Below are 21534 nucleotides of genomic sequence, written 5' to 3' on the forward strand. Positions count from 1 at the left end.
AAGAGATAGGCTTAAAAGAGAACTTGACCTCCAAAACCTTGTGTGATCTGGCCCAAACTTTGTCTAGCTGCCTGAATTTGTTGGAATCACATGATTTAATATAAACATTGCATAATGTTAAATGTGATTTAAATGCTTCTCAAGGGAGAAGCAGGGGCACAAATGTTGCTACAGAGGGCAGGCAAATGCTATGTAAATAAGGGGTAAAAATTGAGTGTGGGGAGGTTGGGCTAGAGATGATAATGGATGGAAGAACTGGAGAAGTGCTGGCTGTGGGAGGATGAGAAGGTGAGTTCAAGTGATAAGTCAAAGATGCACACTGGGGCTATGAAAAGATGGGTTGTATTTAGAGAAAAGGATGGAGTGTCTGACCCCATTCTCTTTCAAGGTGGAGTGCATCTTGGAGCTGGGAAAGGAGACGAAGGTGGTAGAAGTGTTAGGAGAGGAGCCTGCGGGTAGGGGAAGTTAAGGAGAGAATGGGAAATGTATTAATGACTTTGTGGTATTGAAATAAAACAGTTCCCTGATTAATTCGTTTCCTCCAATACGACCAAACTCACACCAACACTTTGGCATGCCACAGATCACCCCCAAGAGTGACTCCACAGCCATCAGCCACCATCCCCACCATCCCAGGCAGTGGCAGCCAGGCAGAGGAAGTGGTCCAAGAAACCTCCCTGTCTGCAGTTCAGTTTCTACTCATACTTCTCATAAAGTCATGACCCTGGCCATGAATCTCCCATCCCTGGAAACCCAGAAGGACGCTCTCCCTTCTGGACGCATTCCTCCTCCAGGCATAACTTCCAACACGAAGGTCAGAATGAATGCGAGTCGCCCAGAGCCCCACACCCAGCCCTGGGAAGGGCGATTCCCTCTGGGAATTCTGCCAGCACAATGTTGCCTCAATTTGAAGACAAATTTTAAATTAATAAAGAAAAAAAAAAGCCTCAGACTCTCACGTCTGCCAAAACACACCATTCCCTGAAAGGTTCCTGAAAAGGACTCAGTGATGTACTATAAAGAAAGCGCCAACCTTCCATAGCCTTCTCCAGCTGCGAGACGCAGACTGGCGGGTCCTGGAAAGGTAACAGCTCACAGCCGCCTTCCCGGGGGCAGCGCAGTGTTGTTCTTGGATCGAGAAGACCTTTCAGCTGCCTTACCACCTGTGTATTTCACAGTCTTGCAGTTCCCTAAACCCCTATGAACAACACAGAACGAACAGACCCGTGGCCAACAGAAAACCCTGAGAAAAGTACTGGAAGAAAGAGTGTGGTTGGTTTAAGATAGAAATGATGTGAAGGTTGCAGTGCGTGCCCTGCAGTTTTCAAAGCCTGCATCGCTAAAATCATCACAGGAATAGAAGTGTCCTTGTCAGCTGCTCTTTTCTTTAGCAGAGAATCTCTCAAACAGCCTCAGGCCACAAAATCACTTCCTGAGGAACTCTTGGTAACTGAATGCCTCTCCAAGTAGCAGGGACCCACACACTGGAATTCTGGGGACAGTGAAGTTCATGCTTCTATCCTAGATTCAGCATCCTCTAAAAAAAAAATTAGCATTTTGAGCACCCTCCCCACTTTTTTTTCTGGGATGGTCACTTCATAAACAAACAAATGTGGTTCATTCAGGGAATAGCTACTGAAGCTGCTTTGATCTCTTCTGGCAAATGGTTTCTATTTCTTCACCCTATTCATTCAGATTTCTGCAAGTGACTTGATTCTAAACCCACATCTCTACTATTTAATCTGCATGGACTATTCTGTGCCACTCAGGCACTGAGGAACTTTACGGTTTTCTCCCCTGACCGCACATGAGTAAGAATAAATCATGTGGACTTGGGAACTGCACAGTTGCAGATCAGAATGAGATTCCGTAATGGGGACAGGGTCCCAAGGACTTTCGGAGTGGCAGGGGAGACTCTCTTGCGCCTGGAATAGGAAAAGCCTTTACTTACAAACACATCCATGAGCAGGTGCTCCAGTGTCAGCTCAAAGTCTTCCAGCTTGGCAGCCAAAGTCATGATGAATGTCCCGATTTGCTCTCAGTCCCCGCTGACAGATCAGATCTGCAAACTCCCCAGCTCAGGAAACACCGTCGGCGTCAAATTTGATCACAAGGCAGGGTTGCCACTAATGGGAAGTAGAAACCCTTAAAAGAAAGCAGAACATCGCAGGCTGGACTGCTCGAGCTGTGTAGCCAGAAACTGTACAAGGATATTTTGAAAAAACAAACACCAAACTCTAATAATGGTGCTATGGGATCAGAATGGGCATAAAGCGAGGCCACCAGATGAAGACTGCAGCCACTGCCTTCCCTGTGTAACTTCACAGTCCGAGGTGCTGGCCAAGCGCAGAGAACCTCACCAGTGAGTGAAAGAGAGAAGTGAGATGGGGTGAAAGCAAGAGTGGGGAAAATGGAATAGACTGTCTGACTCTGATATTTATAGGGCCACATGTTTTTGACTCTAGCCCATTTCTCAGTTGATTTCTGACCTTTCATAAATGGCTAAACACACTGGAGTGTATTGTCGAACGGGGGCAGTGGGTCCCACAGAAGTTGGCTGTGACCAATGCTAGGGCAATTCACACAGACACACCATCAATAGTTCTTTGTAGAGAACGTATCAGACCTTGTTTTGTACACGATGACTGAAAAGCACATAGTCTTGTGAAAAACAAGGAAACGAAAGTTGTGAGGGTACTAAATTTTTCCTCAGAATATTATTAGATCCCTCACACTGTCTTTCTTCTCCATCCTATGCACCCCCTCTGCTGCAAGAGTAGATAAACATCAAGGAAAAAATTTAATATCTCGTGTCAATTCCTCAAGCTTCTGCCAGTTACAGAATATCCACGAAATCTTGCAAATGCAGTTTCTCCTTTTCTGCTTCCAAAGTTTGCTTTTTTTTTTTAACTTAAAAATGTTTGGAAATTGTGGTAAAATATACCTCACATAAATTTTGCCATCTTAACTATTTTTAAGTGTACTGTTCCGTAGTGTTAAGTACATTCACCTTGTACTTGGTTCACATTGTACTGGAATAAACAAGATAGACTTGTTTATTTCATCAATGCTCTTCCTGGGATGGACAAGGGATCAGACTGTGGATAACAGCTAGTGTTTCTTATTTAAGGCAGTCTGCTAGTCTCAACAATGACATCACATGATTATTGTCTAAGAAAAATTTTGGGGCCTTAAGGATAGTCACTATTACACCACCATCCATCTCCAGAACTCTTCTCATTTTGCAAAACGGAAACACTGTGACCATTAAACAATAACTCCATTTCTCCCCTCCCACAGCTGCCTGGCCATCATCATTCTACTTAGTGTCTCTATCAATTTGACCACTCTAGGGACCTCGTATAAGTGAGATCATATAGTGTTTGTCCTTTGGTGACTGGCTTATTTCACTTAGTGTAATGTCCTCAAGGTTCACCCACGGGGTAGCCTGTGTCGGACTTTCTTCCCTTTTTAAGGCTGAAATCACGTATCCTAAGAAAGATACTGCTTTGGACAGTTTTTCAGGCCTGAGAAAATCTCTCAGGGACACGTGGCTGTCAAGACGCTAATGGCCATCCTTGCTGTGACTGTAGTAACAAAATCAGCCTTCGTCTAGCAAGCCAGTGCCCAGTTCTGTCCTCTTAGTTCCCTAAACACTTTCTGTTAAACTCTGGTCTCCTGATTCCAAACAGAGTGTGACCACTTAACAGCCAACATTGATGTCAAAGAAGGTGGGCCTCATGAGATCGAGAGGGAAATATAAATATAACATTTCTGCTTTACAGTAAAACTCCCCTCCCTGCATATCAGAGCTCTCTCGGGTATGAACGGTTAAAACTCTCCATTTTAGTATCTCTCTGTGAATTTTCTTTTCCCAGAGGAGATAGACACAGACTTAATTCAACATTTCACACTTAAACAAAGCTACCATAAAATTAAGGGCAAAGATAAAGAAATGGACAAAAAGCACTGTATTATTTCAAAAGCAGATTTGGAGTCTTGTCAGATGAGTTTAGCTTGACAGTGGGTCCTAAATTGTACATGCATGTTCTTCGAGTTATGGTTTCTATTTTGTTTTCAGGCCTCTAATGGAAGAATTAGAGCGGGTCCCACAGCAGGTGTCTCTTGTTAGGAACGGCATAGGAAGGGGCGGGCAGTGCTGAGATGAATGTCTTCAATAGCCAAGAATGCACAGAAAATCTATTTCCCTGATGGGCTAACTGAGCTACAGACCTTCCTAGGGGCTCATGGTTTTGCCATGTCTGAAATTGATTCAATAACCAGCTGCATCACATCAGCAAGAAAGTCTCAACACAAGAGGACTTCTTGCCACATAGTTGCCATCTTTTGTTAAAACTATAGCTGCCCTGAAGGTCCTCAAAAAGCCAAGTGCCTTCTCTCACCAAGCAAGACAGCCTGATGCCCATGAGGGGCCCTATCATAAGGAGACTAGGGGGAGGGTATGTATCTGCATATGTGCAACATTGTTCTAGTTTTCCAGCGATCTCAGAGGAGTGTTCAACATCAAATTTTCTTTCTTTTTTTAAAAGAATTTATTTTTATTGTTTGTGGGTACATAGTAGGTGTATATATTTATGGGTTACATGAGATATTTTGATCCAGGCATGCAATGCATCATAATCACATCATGGAAAATGGGGGTCTCCATCCCCTCAAGCATTTATCCTTCGAAAACCAAGTCCTCTTAGCCCCTTTCCTTATGAATTAAATTTGGACAAAATGTTTTTAATAGCTGGAATTTCATAAGAGATATACTACTTGTTTGTTTCATCAACCCTCTTCCTGGGATGGACAAGGGATCAGACCTTGGAGAAGAGCTATTGTTTCCATTTAAAGCAGTTGCCAAGAGAGAGTTGAGTCTCCCAGTCTCAACCATGACTTTATGTGACTATTTTCTAAGACAATTTTTTGGGGGGCTTTAAAAACAGTCAATGCGGCCGGGCATGGTGGCTCACGCCTATAATCCCAGCACTTTGGGAGGCCGAGGCGGGTGGACAGCCTGACCAATATGATGAAACCCTGTCTCTACTAAAAATACAAAAATTAGCTGGGCTTGGTGGCATGTGCCTGTAATCCCAGCTACTCGGGAGGCTGAGACAGGAGAATTGCTTGAACCTGGGAGACAGAGATTGCAGTGAGCCGAGATGGCGCCATTGCACTCCAGCCTGAACAACAAGAGCTAAACTCTGTCTCAAACAAAAACAAAAACAAAAACAAAACAAAAATCAAACAGTCAGTGCATTGGCTTCTCTTAGAATGTAAATAGCAAACTTCAGGGATAAGAAATTGTACATGATTTGGGCAGAGTGTGTGGTTCTTACTCTAGCACTGGGGCTCTAGAAGAATGTATTCAGAACATCCTGTTCTTCCAACAAAAGTCACTTTAATAGTTTCCAAAGGAGAGAAATTGACCAGAAGGGAGTTAGCCTGAAGAATGCACAGGAAATTAGTGTATGCGGATGTCACCCCGAAGAGACATTAATCATGAATTCGGATTTTAGTGAATGATATGAGCCACTTGGAGTAACTGGGTACCAGGGAGGAAGTAGAACCACACCAGTGTTAAGACAGAAAAACTTGAAGATACATTCATACAAGCAAGTTCACGGGTGTCAGTGCTTATCGGTATATGAGAACATGGTGAAGGCTGGCTTGGGCCGATCGATTGTGGATGTTTTCTTAGTAACTATATTCTAACTACCTGTTATATATTTTTTTGATAATTATGGGGACATTTTATTAATACTTATATCAAATGTGAACATTCATTTGTTCATTCATTAATGCACCCTTTGGACAAATGTTTATTTACTAACTGGGGTATATACTGGCATAGGTGCTGGTGCCTACAAAGATGATTAAGATATTGTTTCTTCTTCAAGACCTTACAGACTAGAAAAGAGGAGGCCTGATGTGATTGAAGTAATCTTACATTATTTTTTCTTGGGAAATATGAATGTAGAGCGTAACTCCTTATCAGGGGACTCACTCTGGGACTTGGGGATGAGGGAGAGTCACTGACAAAGGGGGAGAAGAGGCTGTTGCCCTACCTAAGAAACATTAACTGTTCTCCATGCTCTGATCCCTTGTCCACCCCAGGAGGAAGGTTGATGAAATAAACATATCTCTTATGAAAATCCAGATATTAAAAACATTTTGTCCAAATTTAATTCATAAGGAAAGGGACTAACAAAACTTGCTTTTCAAAGGATAAATGCTTGAGGGGATGGAGACCCCCATTTTCCACAGTGTGATTATGACACATTGCACGCTTGTATCGATATCCATACTCCCACCCTGTGGGAAGGGCAATGAGTGAGAATGAGGGAGGTATGTAGTACACCTCCTGAGGTTGGGATTTGCAGCACTAAGTGGCAGGGACATCAGGGCAGTGATGGATCCTAGGGTTGAGCCCAGGGATCATTGGGTTTGAAGAGTTGACAGCCAAGGTCTCAATGCTGACAGCACAGGATCCTGCTACTATTTATAGACATTTCTTTGATGGTGTAAATTTCTGTTGGAAAAAAATCCACTTTAACCGTTGATCAAAGCTTGGTGGCCACCTAAGAATGATCTGACATGAACCATCCTGCTGGGGCTGGCCGGTTGAGAATAATTAATCAGTGACACACTCTATACGGTAGGCAAACACCGGAATTTGTTCTGTGCATTTAAATAACAACACTTGTGGGTATGTTTTTAAATTCAGAACCGTTAAATTTCTTTCTCTTTGAACCTCAGATGATCATCTCTTTCTCCCATTTCTATGAAACATCTCCTCCAGCGGGCTTAACGTTTTAGTGGTAAGATTCAAATAAAATAGAAGTCTCGGTGGTGGGGTGGGAATTGGCTGAATTATTTGTAAAGGCATGAAGCTGGTCTCTCCTTAGTCCTTCTCCCTAGGGAAACGGTGGGCAGATCGTTCTTCTAGAGAGAGTATTATAGATTTCTGCAGCCCTGAAAATGAATCATCTGCTTCAAACGCATGAGTGCTCCGCAAAAGTGAGGTTCTTGCCTCAACTAGATTAATTCAGTTCATATCAACCAATCTCTATTAAGGACAACCACGTGTAAGCCCAAAGCAGTAGGCAATTGCATATACAAAATGTGTTCCTTGAACCATTTTCCTGTCTAACCTAGAGCAGTGGTTTTCTATTCAGCAAGATCACATATTTGAAGATCAGGTTTGGGCAGGTGATCAGACCACCACACAGTGGATCAGAATCAGTCAGTAAGACACATTAGTTACCTATTTTCATGCCTGGGTCAGTAAACCTAAGTAGAAGTTTAATCCAATTATTAAATAAGTACTGAGATACTTTTAAAGAGCAAAACCACTGGCTTTTATTTTGATCACCCAATTAGTCCCACAGATCCAGTTTACATGAAAAAAAAAAAAAAAACTACATGTTTGTTTTTAATCGTTTTTGAGTTGATTTTTGTATATGGTATAAAATAAAGGTCCAGTTTCATTATTCTGCGTTGTGGATATCCAGTTTTTACAACACCATTTATTGAAGAGATTGTCTTTTTCCCAAACCTGGAGGATATTACGCTAAGTGAAAAATGTCAGACACAGAAAGACACATATACTGCATCATCTCACTTCTAGGTAGAAGGCTAAAATAGCCAGACTCACAGAGGAACAGGGTAGAATGTGGTTTCCAGGAGCTGGAGGAGGGGGAAATGGGGAGATGTTGGTCAAGGGGTACAAAGTTTCAGTTACGCAGGAGGAATAAGTTCTGGGCACCCAATGCACAGCGATGTGACTGAGTTAACAATGCTGTACTGTCTACTTGAAATTTGCTGAGAGGATAGATCTTAAGTGTTCTCATCATAAAATGTTTTTTAGAAAAAGAAAGCAAAAAAGAAAATGGCAACTATATGAGGTGATAGATACATTAATTAGCTTGATCCTGGTGATTATTTCACAATGTATACCTGCATAGGAACATTACATCATACACCTTAAATACATACAATTTTTGTCCGTGATATCTCCATAAAGATGGAAAAGAAAACTCTCAATGATATGTGTAAGAGCAACTGATATTAATGTCCTAATGACATACTTGTCTATCAAGCTTCTGCCTTACCTTCAAACTACAAAGAGAGAGGATTTTAAAGATTGTTTGTTTGTTTAAGTAAAACAAGCCCTTTTGATGGCCATATAGACAACAAGCTGCCTGTCTGGGTCTAGTTAAAGGCTGGCCTGTCTGCTCCAGCTATCTCTTGGAGAACAGACATGTTAATTTAAAGGTTTGCTTCTATAGGGCCCCTGGCAGCCTGGCACTGGCCTGGGATCAGGCAGTGGTTCTCAGAAGACTACACTCTTAGCATCTGCCCTTATTCTTCCATGTTTGTGTAGATGGCTTACACAACCAACCTTGTCTTTCCCACTCAGGATGCATTTTCCATTTTGACAGCCTCTCCAATGAGTACAAAGCCTCTATTCCTCTGCATCCATCTCCAGCCCCACCGCAGTCCCTGGCTCATGCACCCACAACCCCTGACCAGTCACAAGGATGAATTTCAAGACTTTCAAAACTCAGAAGCAGGGAAATGAGTGTCAGGCACACCCAGGAGTACCCTGAACTTATGATGGGGTGAAACATAATAACTCATCTTTTCTCAGTCTTGCCATCTGTCACTTACTGTACCATTTGGAGTCAAAGAGGCTTGCAGGGATTCCGAGGTCGCCACCAGAAGTGTGCAACTGGAATGTGCCAGGAATGATCGCCTGGGCTTCACCACGTGGACTTTCTAAGGCATTTGTTTGCTAGGGTTCAAATACACATTGTGGAGACACTAATCTTTACTGCATCCTCCTGAATCTTTTATAGACATTTTTTTTTTTTTTTGAGATGGAGTTTCACTCTTGTTGCCTAGGCTGGAGTGCAATGGCACAATCTCGGCTCACTGCAACCTCCGCCTCCCGGGTTCAAGTGATTCTCCTGCCTTAGCCTCCTGAGTAGCTGAGAATACAGGCGCCAACCACCATGCCTGGCTAATTTTTGTATTTTTAGTAGAGATGGGGGTTCACCATGTTGGTCAGGCTGGTCTTGAACTCCTGGCCTCAGGTGATCCACCTGCCTCGGCCTCCCGAAGTGCTGGGATTTTAGGCACACCCAGCCTTACAGATGTTTTTTAATGGCTCTTTCCCATCTGTAACAGACACACAGGATTTAAAGATTTCCATGCCTTCCGGAGTTGTTTAGAGAACCAAGGCATGAGCTCTAGGCGAAGCTCTTAGAGCTGGTCTGAAATGAGAAGCTGTGGAATAGGAGCTGGAGCTATGTGACGACTACTACCATTGCATGTTCTGCACTTTGGACAACTTTGAGTGGGGCATTTTGCTCATTAATGTCATTGCCAAATCCAGGAAGTCTGCTGGTTGTAAAACAATCTTGAGGAAGAACCACCATCCATTTCACCCAACTCTGACTTAGATTTTTTTTTTTTCTTCCCCCATTGCCTTTCCCATGGGCCTTAGAATGATCAATGATGTTTAATCCCTTTAGAGTCAGCGGCCTTGGTTCTAAGAAATATTCTAAGTTTTTAATTTTTTGAGATGGGGTCTTTCTATGTTGCCCAGGCTGACCCTGAACTCCCAGACTCAAGCAATCCTCAGGCCTCAGCCTCTTGAGTAGCTGGGACTTCACGCATTCTACCACTGCTGGCTCTAACAAGTATTTAAAAATACTCCCTTACTGTCCTCAAATAAAATTCATGGATCGTGCAACCTGCTTACACATATTATTGAAAAAAATTAGCACAATTCTCTGTTATGTAAACAAAAGATAGTAGGAAAGTAATCTGTCAGCAAATAACATATATTACAATATGTAAATGTTTGCAGATAATGCAACTACAACCAGAAATCATGAAGAAGTGATCGATTTCTTAATTACTGTGAGGCCAGAACTCCAAATGCTAATTGCCAAATGTCTGTCATGTTGGAGACTCAAATGCCACTGGGGTATTGCCATTAGTGAAGCGCTTTTCCTGAAACATGAATAGTTCTTGGTGAACTTCCGGCTAAAACAAAGCATTATCACCCCTTGACTTGCAGGAGAGTTGTACTTGGGAGAGTCTGTAAACGGTGAACCGCAAGTAGCGCTATCCACACCCGCGACCCCTCCCTCACTGTTGCTGCCTGGGAACTACGTTGCCACCACTTCCAGTGAAGGCCACCAGGGGGCGCCAGCAAGGGGGAGCTGCTGGCGGACACCACCCTAAGACGCCCACCCTTTGGTGGATGCGGTGTTCTGTGCCGTGTCCACCATCACCCCTCAGACACCAGCATGGCATCCCCTCACCCCATCTGTTGCTAGGAGCCAGCATCCCTGGACTGCACTAGTGATAAAAGGCGGGGGACATCCTGCAGGAAGGAAATGGGGCTGAGTGTGTTTGTGTCTTTGAGCAGGAGACGGTGGTGGTGGGAAATCATGCACAGTCTGTTTCCCAGTCTTGGTAACTTTGCCTGGTATTGCCAGATATACCCAAGAGCAATTCAAGTGGCTGCAGTAGTCACCAGGTAGGTCTGGAACGAAACTGAATATCTGCGAGGCTCCACTACGTTCTTTTAAGATAATTGTATTGGCTGGGCGCGGTGGCTCACGCCTATAATCCCAGCACTTTGGGATGCTGAGGTGGGCGGATCACCTGAGGTCAGGAGTTCGAGATCAGCCTGGCCAACATGGTGAAACCCTGTCTCTACTAAAAATACAAAAATTAGCCGGGCGTGGTGGCACATGCTTGTAATCCCAGCTACTCAGGAGGCTGAGGCAGGAGAATCGCTTGAGCCTGGGAGGTGGAGGTTGCAGTTAGCCTAGATTGTGCCACTGCACTCCAGACTGGCCAACAGAGCGAGACTGTGTCTCAAAAAAAAAAAAAAAATTATTTTAGATTCAGGGCACATGTGCTTGTTACATGGATATTATTAATACATGCTTATTGGTGGAGTGTGGGCTTCTAGTGTGACCATCACCCAAATATTGAGCATTGTACCCAATAGCTAATGTCAAGGAACCAACCTAAGTGTCCACCAATGGCTGATTGGATAAAGAAAATGTGATAGGCCGGGCATGGTGGCTCATGCCTGTAATCTCAGCAATTTGAGAGGCTGAGGCGAGTGGATCACTTGAGCTCAGAAGTTCAAGACCAGCCTGGCCAACAAGGCGAAACCCCATCTCTACTAAAAATACAAAAATTAGCTGGGCATGGTGGCATGTGCCTGTAATCCCAGTTACGTGGGAGGCTGAGGCAGGAGAATCTCTTGAACCCAGGAGGTGGAGGTTGCAGTGAGCCGAGATCGTGTCATTGCCCTCCAGCCTGAGCAACATAGCAAAACTCAGAAAGAGAGAGAGAGAGAGAGAGACAGAGAGAGAAAGAAAAGAAAGAAAAAAAAGAAAAGAAAAGAAAAAAGAAAAGAAAAGAAGTTAGGAAGGAAGGGAGAAAATGTGATATATAGACACCATGGAATGCTACACAGCCCTAAAAAAGAATAAAATCACCTCATTTGCAGCAACATGCATGGAGCTTGAGGCATTCATCCTAAGTGAACTAACTTAGAAGCAGAAAATCAAATATCGCATGTTCTCACTTATAAGTGGGAGCTAAACACGGGTCCACTATGTTGTTGAGACACTACATTCCCCAATAGCAAGAGCTATCTGTTATAACTTGGACATTTTTCTATTTGGTCCCTAGGGTCCCCCACTAAGGACATGCTTGGGAGGTCATGGCACTGTGTACCCTGCCTTTCCCTAGATGTTCATTAAGCGCATTTGTTGCATTGTGCATATCCTTGCCTGCTCCCTAGGCTGTGGAGGAGCTATCGGTACCCAGCTGGTTGTCTGTGGCAGGCTGGTAGCAGGTGAGGGCAGGTCTCGGGGTTCCGAGTGATGAGAATCCAGAGACGCACGTCCCTGACTATTGCTGGATCCTTGAGCAGACAGGGCCCTCTGTTACCCACACTCGAGTTCCAGAACTTAGAAGAAGAGTTCCAAGAACAGCTGGCTGTGGAACAGCCATGGGAGGATGTCTCTTGCCCTTTAAGCTTCCATGAGGTGAATATATACAGTGTCCATCCCTGAGAAAAATGAAGCTTCCACAAGACAACAGATAAATATTTTCAGGAGAAAATGAAATATTTTCATGAGAGATGATCAGATCTGATCCTGGGCCTTGGGTGGGTGGGTCTCTACCTGCACTTTACAACCCTAATCAATAAATAACCTGAGCTCCTTGTTCAGCTTACAAGTCCTTGGTCCAGTTTAGCTCAAAGAGAGACGGATGTCCAGTGACCTAAATTTATCTTACAATGGCAGTGCTGTGCCTGACACCAGGTTCATGCATCTTCACACAGGCCGTCCCTAGAAGAGAAAAGGATGCCTCCCCTCATTGGCTTTCTAATATTACTGCAACAACTACAACCTTGGGGACAATTTCCTGGTGGGAGGACATGCCCAATAATGCAGGTGCATAGTGGAACACTGGCATCACTTAGTTGGTGACTTGAGGACCTCAGTCTCCCTGGGTTCAGTTTCCTCATGTGTCAAATTCCCAGCTTAACTAGATGAGGGTTTCCAGACTTTGAGTAATATGAAACAGTACAATCTGAAAATGAAATTAAATACCGGGGGGACCAACCTATAGGGTTGTCAGTATCTTATATGCTACGTTAGGGAATTAAAAACAAAATAGACTGGGCACGGTGGCTCACACCTATAATCCCAGCACTTTGGGAGGCTGAGGCGGGTGGATCGCCTGAGGTCAGGAGTTTGAGACCACCCTGGCCAACAAGGTGAAACCCTGTTTCTCCTAAAAATACAAAATTAGCTGGGCGTGGTAGCAGGCATCTGTAATCCCAGGTACTCAGGAGGCTGAGGCGGGAGGACTGCATGAATCCGTGAGGCTGAGGTTGCAGTGAGCCAAGATCACGCCATTACACTCCAGCCTGGGCAACAAAGCAAGACTCCATCTCAAAAACAAACAAATAAACAAAAAAAAAAAAAGAAGAAAAAAATGAAACAAGCCAAATATAATCTGCTGTCTCCATGATTTTATTAAAGAAAAGACATTTTAACACACACTGAAAACAGGAGAGATAAAAATATTGGGTTTTAAAGTGGATAAATTTAGCTTGATAGAAAAATCCTTCTGTTGTCTGTATTTTTCTCCTGGGCTGCGTACCCACGAGGATTTTATTATAACGGAGATCAGGAAAGGGCATCTGGGACCAGAGCACAAGAGGATCCCAGCCTCGATCCAGCTGTATTTTTATCTCTAGTTTTTAATCTCCAGTTTTTATCTCTAGTTTTTAATACAGCCTCACACTGTTCCTATGAAATAGACTAAAGATATGCAAGAAACACACTAGTAAGCGAATCTCTGGAAACAGAATCCTCCACCTTCCTTTCCATGTGTTTTGCTTCTCTGACCATCTCAATGCCAAAATACAAAAATTAGCCAGGCGTGGTGGTTGGCGCCTGTAATCCCAGCTACTTGGGAGGCTGAGGCAGGAGAATCACTTGAACCTGGGAGGCGGAGGTTGCAGTGAGCCGACATCGTGCCATTGCACTCCAGCATGGGCAACAAGAGTGAAACTCCACCTCAAAAAAAAAAAAAAAAAAGTCTATAAAAGATTCAGGAGGATGCAGTAAGGATTAGTGTCTCCACAATGTGCATTTGAACCCTAGAAAACAAGTGCCTTAGAAAGTCCACGTGGTGAAGCCCAGGCGATCATTCCTGGCACATTCCAATTGCACACTTCTGGTGGTGACCTCGGAATCCTTGTAAGCCTCTGACTCCAAATGGTACAGTAAGTGAAAGATGGCAAGACTGAGAAAAGATGAGTTATTATGTTTCGCCCCATCATTAGTTCAGGGTACTCCTGGGTGTGCCTGACACTCATTTCCCTGCTTGTGAGTTTTGAAAGTCTTGAAACTCACAGCAGAGAACATCAGCAAGACGGAAAGGGAAAGCTGGAAAGATAAACACCCCGCCTTCCTGTTCGGAGTCTGCAGAAAAGGGACAAAGCCAGGCCAAGGGGAGCGGAGTATAGTGATGCTTGTTTCACTTCTTAACCCGGATTGCTTGCATTTGTACTTTCTGGGTGATGCTACCCACTTCCTACCATGACGGAATCACTGATTTTTACCTCTTCTCTAAGCACATGCTTGAGAGGGAGCAACTCAAGTTTTTGGGATGGAGTCTTGCTCTGTTGCCCAGGCTGGAGCACAGTAGACAGGCTCAAGCAATTCACCTCCCTCAGCCTCCCGAGTAGCTGGAATTACAGGCTATTGACCATTATACTCGTCTAATTTTTTTGTATTTTTAGTAGAGATGGGGTTTCGCCAGGTTGGCCAGACTGGTCTCGAACTCCTGACCTCAAGTGATCTACCCGCCTCAGCCTCCCAAAGTGGCAAGAATACAGGCATGCTCCACCGTGCCCAGTTGGGAGCAACCCAATTCTTACCCTCAAAACTGAAAAGCTCTGCTTTTGAAACTCTTTTGTTACTATTTTTTGAGTAGGTAATATATGCAGATGATACAAAATTCAAAATTAACAAGGGAGCAGAAACAAAAAGTTAATTTCTCTTATACCTCTGACCTACAGCCACCCAGTTCTCACTAGTGGCAACCACTTTTACATGCTTCTTGAGATATTCTAATCAGATTCAGGCATAAAATGTTACCATTGGTGATTATATATACACACACACATATGCACGTGTCCACACACAAACACACAAATAGAACATACTTTACAACTATAAATTGTACTTCACTGTCCGGATCTGGAATATTTCCTTTTTCTTTACTTTTTTTGAAACAGTCTCGTTCTGTCATCCAGGCTGGAGGGCAGTACACTCTGCCTCCAGGGCTCAAGCGATTCTCCTGCCTCAGCCTCCTGAGCAGCTGGGATTACAGATGGGCACCACCATGTCCACCTAATTTTTGTATTTTTAGTAGAGACGGGGGTTTGCCATGTTGGCCAGGCTGGTCTTGAACTCCTGACCTCATGTGATCCACCCACCTTAGCCTCTCAAAGTGCTGGGATTACAGGTGTGAGCCACCTAGCCCGGAACATTTCATTAAATCAGTCTTCTATTGATGGATATTTGAATATGTCACTAATTCAATGTGAAAATGTTTTTGTACATCTGTCAATGTATCTCTAAGGTAGACTTCTAGGAGTAGAATTGTTGGCTCAAAAGTCATGTGTATTTAAAAAAAAAATTAGACATTGTCAATTTTGCTCCCCATGGAGGTTATACCAATTTATATCCCCAGTATAGAGAGTGTCTGACTCCCTCCACTCTTATGTTACAGTGAGGGTGTGTACCATAAAACTTTCAAATCTTGGGCACTGTGATGGGTAAAAAATGGCATCTCATTTTTATTTCAATTGATAATCTCCTTTCATAAGCCAAAATGCTGTTTCACAAAATTTCCCCAAGACCAATTCCCTTTTTTAAACCAAGCTTTCATTGATCCAAATGGATCCAGTTTTGTCTCATAAACATCCCAATAATGGACACAAGCTAATAATTAAGAGAAACATGTTAGAACCATCTACTCACTGAAGTCCACATTTAAAGGCAATTTAAGGCCGGTCGCGGTGGCTCACGCCAGTAATCCCAGCATTTTGGGAGGCCGAGGCGGGTGGATCACGAAGTCAGGAGATCGAGACCATCCTGGCTAACACAGTGAAACCCCGTCTCTAATAAAAATACAAAAAAATTAGCTGGGCGAGGTGGCGGGCGCCTGTAGTCCCAGCTTCTCGGGAGGCTGAGGCAGGAGAATGGCATGAACCCGGGCGGCGGAGCTTGCAGTGAGCCAAGATCGCACCACTGCACTCCAGCCTGGGCGACAAAGCGAGACTCCGTCTCAAAATAAATAAATAAATAAATAAAAATAAAATAAAGGCAATTTACAAGAATCTTTATTAATGGCTCCCTTATGTATCTCTGTATTGTATATGCCACGCATACCTGTTAGAGGAGATGAAAATTAAAATGACGCTAAGCAAAAACAAAGGGCAATTCATCCAAATATTCCTCTTAGTCCAATTTCTCCTTAGCCTTGAAAAGAGATAGGCAAGCCCCCAAAAGATTGAATCTTGAAAGACTCAAGACCATGACACCTGATCAGATGTCGACTGCATAAAATTGATAACATTTGTCAGCTACTCACGCTCAAATCTACCAAGCTCAGAAACTAATCTCATAGACGATCAGCAGGGCAGGCAATAAAGGTCCTCAGAATTTCCATTGTGTACGAAGATATGCGAGAGCATCAACTACCCCAAGTAAGGCTGAAGGTTCCCCGGTGACTTTAGTGAGCTAAAACTTGTTACCCACGACTTTTATCAGTCAAGCTGACCCCAGCACCTCACTAAATGTCTGATTGGCGCCTCTGTTACTCTCCTGCGAATCTGATTAGGTTTCTATGTATTCTCAAGGTCACTAGCTGTGTTTGGACAAAACGATAATAATATCAACCTTCAGGACACCATTTCTTGAGCATTTTTGAAAGGGCCAGTGTGGACACCGTTAATTTCTCAGGCAAATAAGAAAATCATTATAGAACAGCAGCCAAAGAACTTGAATAAATTAATTAACATATTCAATATTTACCGAGCTTGTTGCTTTCTATTGAATTTGTATTGTGGTTGTAGTGATTTTTGTCATGTACTGCAAGCATCGGGCTATTGATACTGTGGCTGAAATGCTTAGACTCATGAATTGTTAGCTATGTTTTAGAATATGAGTTGTACTTAGACTATTTAATTGTATCGTTATTTAATTATATCCTTTTGCTTACAATAGGGTAGATGCCATATATACTATATCAAAGGTTTTTCACATCTAAAAATTTGCATTTCTAATTGCTAAGTAAGATCTTTTTCTTGCTCACTTTCTGATCTGTCCGTCCGTCCATCCATCCATCCATCCATCCATCCATCCATCCATCCATCTATCTATCTATCTATCTATCTATATTGGAACCCCAAAATCAATCAATCTATCTATCTATCTATCTATCTATCTATCTATCTATCTATCTATCTATCTATCTATCTATCTATCATCTTGGAACCCCAAAATCACTAAGCTAAAGGGAAAAATCAAGCTGGGAATGGCTTAGGCTAAACCTGCCTTCCATTCTATTCAAAGTCATCCCTCTGCTCACTGAGATAAATGCATATCTGATTTCTTCCTTAGGAAAGGCTGGTCAGAAACTCAAAAGAATGCAACCATTTGTCTCTTATCTACCTATGACCTGTGAACCCTCTTCCTCACTTTGAGTTGTCCTGGCTTTCTGGCCTGAACCAATGTGCATCTTACATATACTGATTGATAACACCAAGCTGTACCCAACCACCTTGGGCGCATGTCGTCAGGACCTCGTGAGGCTGTGTCACGGCCGTGCATCCTTAACTTTGGCAAAATAAATTTCCTAAATTGAGACCTGTCTCAGATATTTGGGGTTCATATATGTATGTATGTGAGTATGTATGTATGTATCTATCCATTTATCTGTCATCTCATCTAATCTTTGCTTTGTGCTAGGCACTGTTCCAAGTGCCTTAGAAATATGAACTTACTTAATCCTCACAACAGCCCATATGGTGCTTAATTATTTTTACCATCCTTGTTTTACAGATGGAGAAACTCAGGAACAGAGAGGTTAAGTCACTGGCTCAGAGTCACACAGCCAGTCGAATGACAGAGCCTGAATAGGAATGCAAGCCTCTGGCTCCGGGGTCAGTGATAATCACTGCTACACTGGGCTTGTGTGTGTACAACATTCTAATTTTTGTGAACAGTCACTTGCTCCCTGTCACCGAGAGAAAATCCTTCTTCTGTTGAATGAAACAGAGAAAGTTCTTGTGGGGAAGCAAAGCTGGGTAAGAAGTGTGTGTAGCAGGGCTGTAGGGGTGGTTTCTGGAAAATGTTTGGTATTCATTTACAAGATAATCTTAATAGCATCTCCATTGTGTAATGGAGAGACTCAATAATGGTACTGAAGGAATTTAGCTGAAGTTAATGTTCTTGCAAAAAAACAGAGAATGATGCAATTCTTTAACTCTGGGAGGAGTGTAACATTCATCTGAGACTAACTGCATTTTGGAGATAAAGGAACAGGCCCCAGGGACTTTGGCCTTACTTGGCCTGTTTGCTGAAGGCCATGCATGGTGCCTGCGACCAGAATCTAGACTTTCCACCTGCAGTTAGGGTTCTCCTTCTTATTTACTTCTTATTAACAGGATGAGTACTCCTCAGAAACCATAGACTGTCTCAGTTTCTCCTTCCCTCTCTGCAAATGTGTTCTCCAGAGGAAATAAGACGGAGACGCCAGCTTAGGCCTGCAGTGGATACAGTGGTTTTGGCTTCATGTACACAGGTGTTCCATTTAATGAGGTGTTGAAGGGAAGGTGGTTGAAAAAGAAATATACAGGGTGTGAGAAGAAGGAAGGCAAAACGTCTATTACCCACAAGCCCAGAGAAATCTATTTCTCCAGGCTGCAAAGTAGCAAGTGCCAGGATTTTGGAGTGGAATAACTGCTCTACTTCCTCTTAATCAAAGGAATTATATAACTCCCCTGAGAGAAAGCAAAATGACTTATTTTATCATAATGAAGCTTTTAAAATGGCAACTTGCAGTACTTTGAAAAAGTCGTAGAGTATATGGGGTTATACTCGTTTCTTCTTCTTTGTTTTGTTTTTTAGTTTTCTTGCTGAAATTGGACAATCAGAGCACATGTCAAACACTTCTGCTTTCTTCAAAGAAAACAGAGCTCTTTCTGTGCCTCAAATTCTTCTGAGCTGCTTTTAAGGGAGTCTAACTTGGTTCCTTATCTCTTTTTTCAAAAGGCGTTTCTCATGACATTCTTCAAAAAGCTTTGCTTTGTTGTAGTTTCCAATATTTCAACATTTTTATTTTACAGCTTAACTTGTCATCATGAAAATTCTGACTAATGTCCTTTTGTCTGTTTACAAATTAGTTTCATTTTCTGCCACCAAAAGGGAAACATACTGTGATCTCCATACTTGAGCTATTTTGTCAAACAAGAGTTAAAATCAGGAAACGTTTACAAATAAGTTCTGCGTCTAGGCGTATACCCAAAACAGATGAGTCCATATGAGCCCCAAAAGGCGTGACCAGGGATTTTCATAGCAGGACTATTCATAACAGCTCCAAAATGAAAATGATCCAAATGTTCATCAGAGGTAGAACAAATAAATGTGTAGTCTACGCATAAGGTAGAATCGTATAATGGGATAAAATATAGCAATGAAAAGGAATGGACCACTGTTGAGTTCAACAGCATGGATCAATCTTATAAGTATTTTTGAGTAAAAGAAGCTAGACACAAACAAATATGAATTGTGTCTTTATGTTTATATAAGGTTCAAAAACAGAGAAAACTCAACTATGCTGGTAGAAGTCAGAACAGGGGCTATGTTTGTGGAGGGAGGGAGACAGTGACTGAAACGAGCACAGGGAGCTTGCAGGGTGCTGGTGATGCTCTACTGCAAGATCCTTATTCCAGTAGGTTCACTTTGTGAAAAGTAAAGTAGAGGTTTCTCTTCAAAAATTTTCCTCCCCGTCTAATTAGGAATAAACAGAAACTTCTCTCAGAAGCAAAATGTATTCAAAGACCTGTGCTAACATTTTTAAATGTCTGCTAGCCGTAATAAAGAAATCGATGTACTTTATGTTCTTAGCTCCCACCATGTAGCCTAAATATTTGCCCTGGCACGCTTATACTGGTCCAAGCAAGCATTAGGTCATAGCCTGTTCCTCTTCCTTATTTGAAGTTGTTTTTACCTTTCTCAGTATTCCACAAGTTACTTCCTCCTTCCTTTGTTCTCCTCTGCCTTTGCCTCTTTTAAAAAGTTCTAAGTTACAGGCCAATCAGGACAAATACAGAATGTGAGGTCCCGCTCCAGCCAATAGAAACCAGACACAGCAGTAAAGTGGACGCGTCAAGTTATAAATAACGCTGGCTCCTTTGTTCAGTGTACTCTTGTGGCAAAACTGCTGGCGAATGTACCCTTTCTGCAGAAAGTATAAAAATGGCCTTGCTGAGGAAATTAAATTTATGTTCAAGTGCTTTTTCTTCACGGCACCGAAGAACAGGCATTTCAAACAACTTTGTGGGTATTTACGAAGGTGTACTTGTGATTTGTGCTCTTTCCTGAGCACAGGTTATACTTAGATAAGAAATTTATTTGAAAACAGGCCGGCGCAGTGGCTCATGCCTGTAATCCCAGCACTTTGGGAGGTCGAGATGGGTGGATCATTCGAGGTCAGGAGTTTGAGACCAGCCTGGCCAATATGGTGACACTGCACCTCTACTAAAAATACAAAAAAAATTAGGTGGGCGTGGTAGTGCAAACCTGTAATCCTAGCTACTCGGGACGCTGTAAGCCAAGATCGTACCACTGCACTCCAGCCTGGGTGATAGAGCAAGACTCCATCTCAAAAAAAAAAAAAAAAAAAAAAAAAGAAATTCATTTCGAAACAAAACTCAGTACTGAATTCTCCCTGGTGCAGAAAGAGAAAATCAACCTGTACAATCCTCATGACAAAAATCTATATATTTTCATCAGACACTTAGAAAATGTTCAGATCTTCCAGGTGTAGAGATGGGAGAGGAGAGAGAGAAAAAATTTTTTAAAGCATCCTTTTACTTCCAGAAGGTTACCATGTTATCTATGTGTTGACAAAAACATTTTCTTCACCAAAAAGTGTGCACATTTAACATTAAAGTTGCTGAGAATTCAATACAAATATATTTCTGAGGGATTTTTTTATGAGAAATTCTAGCCATATGTCCCATGTTAGTTCTGAAGGAATTCTAAAATTTGATGTGTGTTGTGTGGATATAAAGGTGATACTCAAAGGAAATGTCTGAGAATGTGTATTTATATTTTATAACAAGATTAAATCACATGATTTATCCACAAATTTTTTTTCCTTCCTTTACCAATTTCACTCCCTGCCCACTGATTTCTTGAATTCTCCCATTTCATCTCCTCTATTCCTCTCTGATGTGCAGTTGAGGTATTTGTCAAAATTCTCCCTTCTCCCCTCTCCTGTCCTCTCACTGTCTGGAAACTTGTCCACTCTGATGAGGATTTCTCTGTTTCCTTTGGCTGGATGATTTCTCACTCCCCAGCACCTGCTCTAACTTCTGTCCATCACTCCAGCCTCGACTGCACAGCTGCCTGGACAGGCACAGACAACGACGCCATCCATCAGCATTACAATAGAAGACACAAAATCAAATTGACTTCTCATCAAACTAGCTGCAGCTTTCCACTGCCTTACCTAGGTTAGTGGTACCATCATTCAACTAGGTGTCCGGTCCCAGATCTCTGGGTCATCTTTTTTTTTTCTTAAGACAAGGTCTTGCCCTCTCGCCCAGACTGCAGTGAAGTGGTGCAATCACAGCTCACTATAACTTCGAACTGTGGGACTCAAGCATTCTTC

General features: G+C 42.7%; 1 protein-coding gene across 1 annotated transcript in view, besides 1 other annotated feature; it reads right to left on the reverse strand.

Annotated features, from left to right (window-relative positions):
- FRMD4A (FERM domain containing 4A) overlaps positions 1 to 21534 on the reverse strand; it is a 687219-nt gene that overhangs the window by 378697 nt on the left and 286988 nt on the right. The window lies entirely within an intron of this gene.
- Positions 9551 to 9716: a silencer, noted in NCBI's record as "fragment chr10:14073952-14074117 (GRCh37/hg19 assembly coordinates)". NCBI's record gives its function as "represses an EF-1alpha promoter that drives an FKBP-Casp9 reporter gene in an ReSE screen in K562 erythroleukemia cells {active_cell/tissue: K562}" and the evidence as "EXISTENCE:reporter gene assay evidence [ECO:0000049][PMID:32094911]".

The sequence above is a fragment of the Homo sapiens genome, chromosome 10, assembly GCF_000001405.40.
Source record: "Homo sapiens chromosome 10, GRCh38.p14 Primary Assembly".
NCBI lineage: Eukaryota > Metazoa > Chordata > Mammalia > Primates > Hominidae > Homo > Homo sapiens.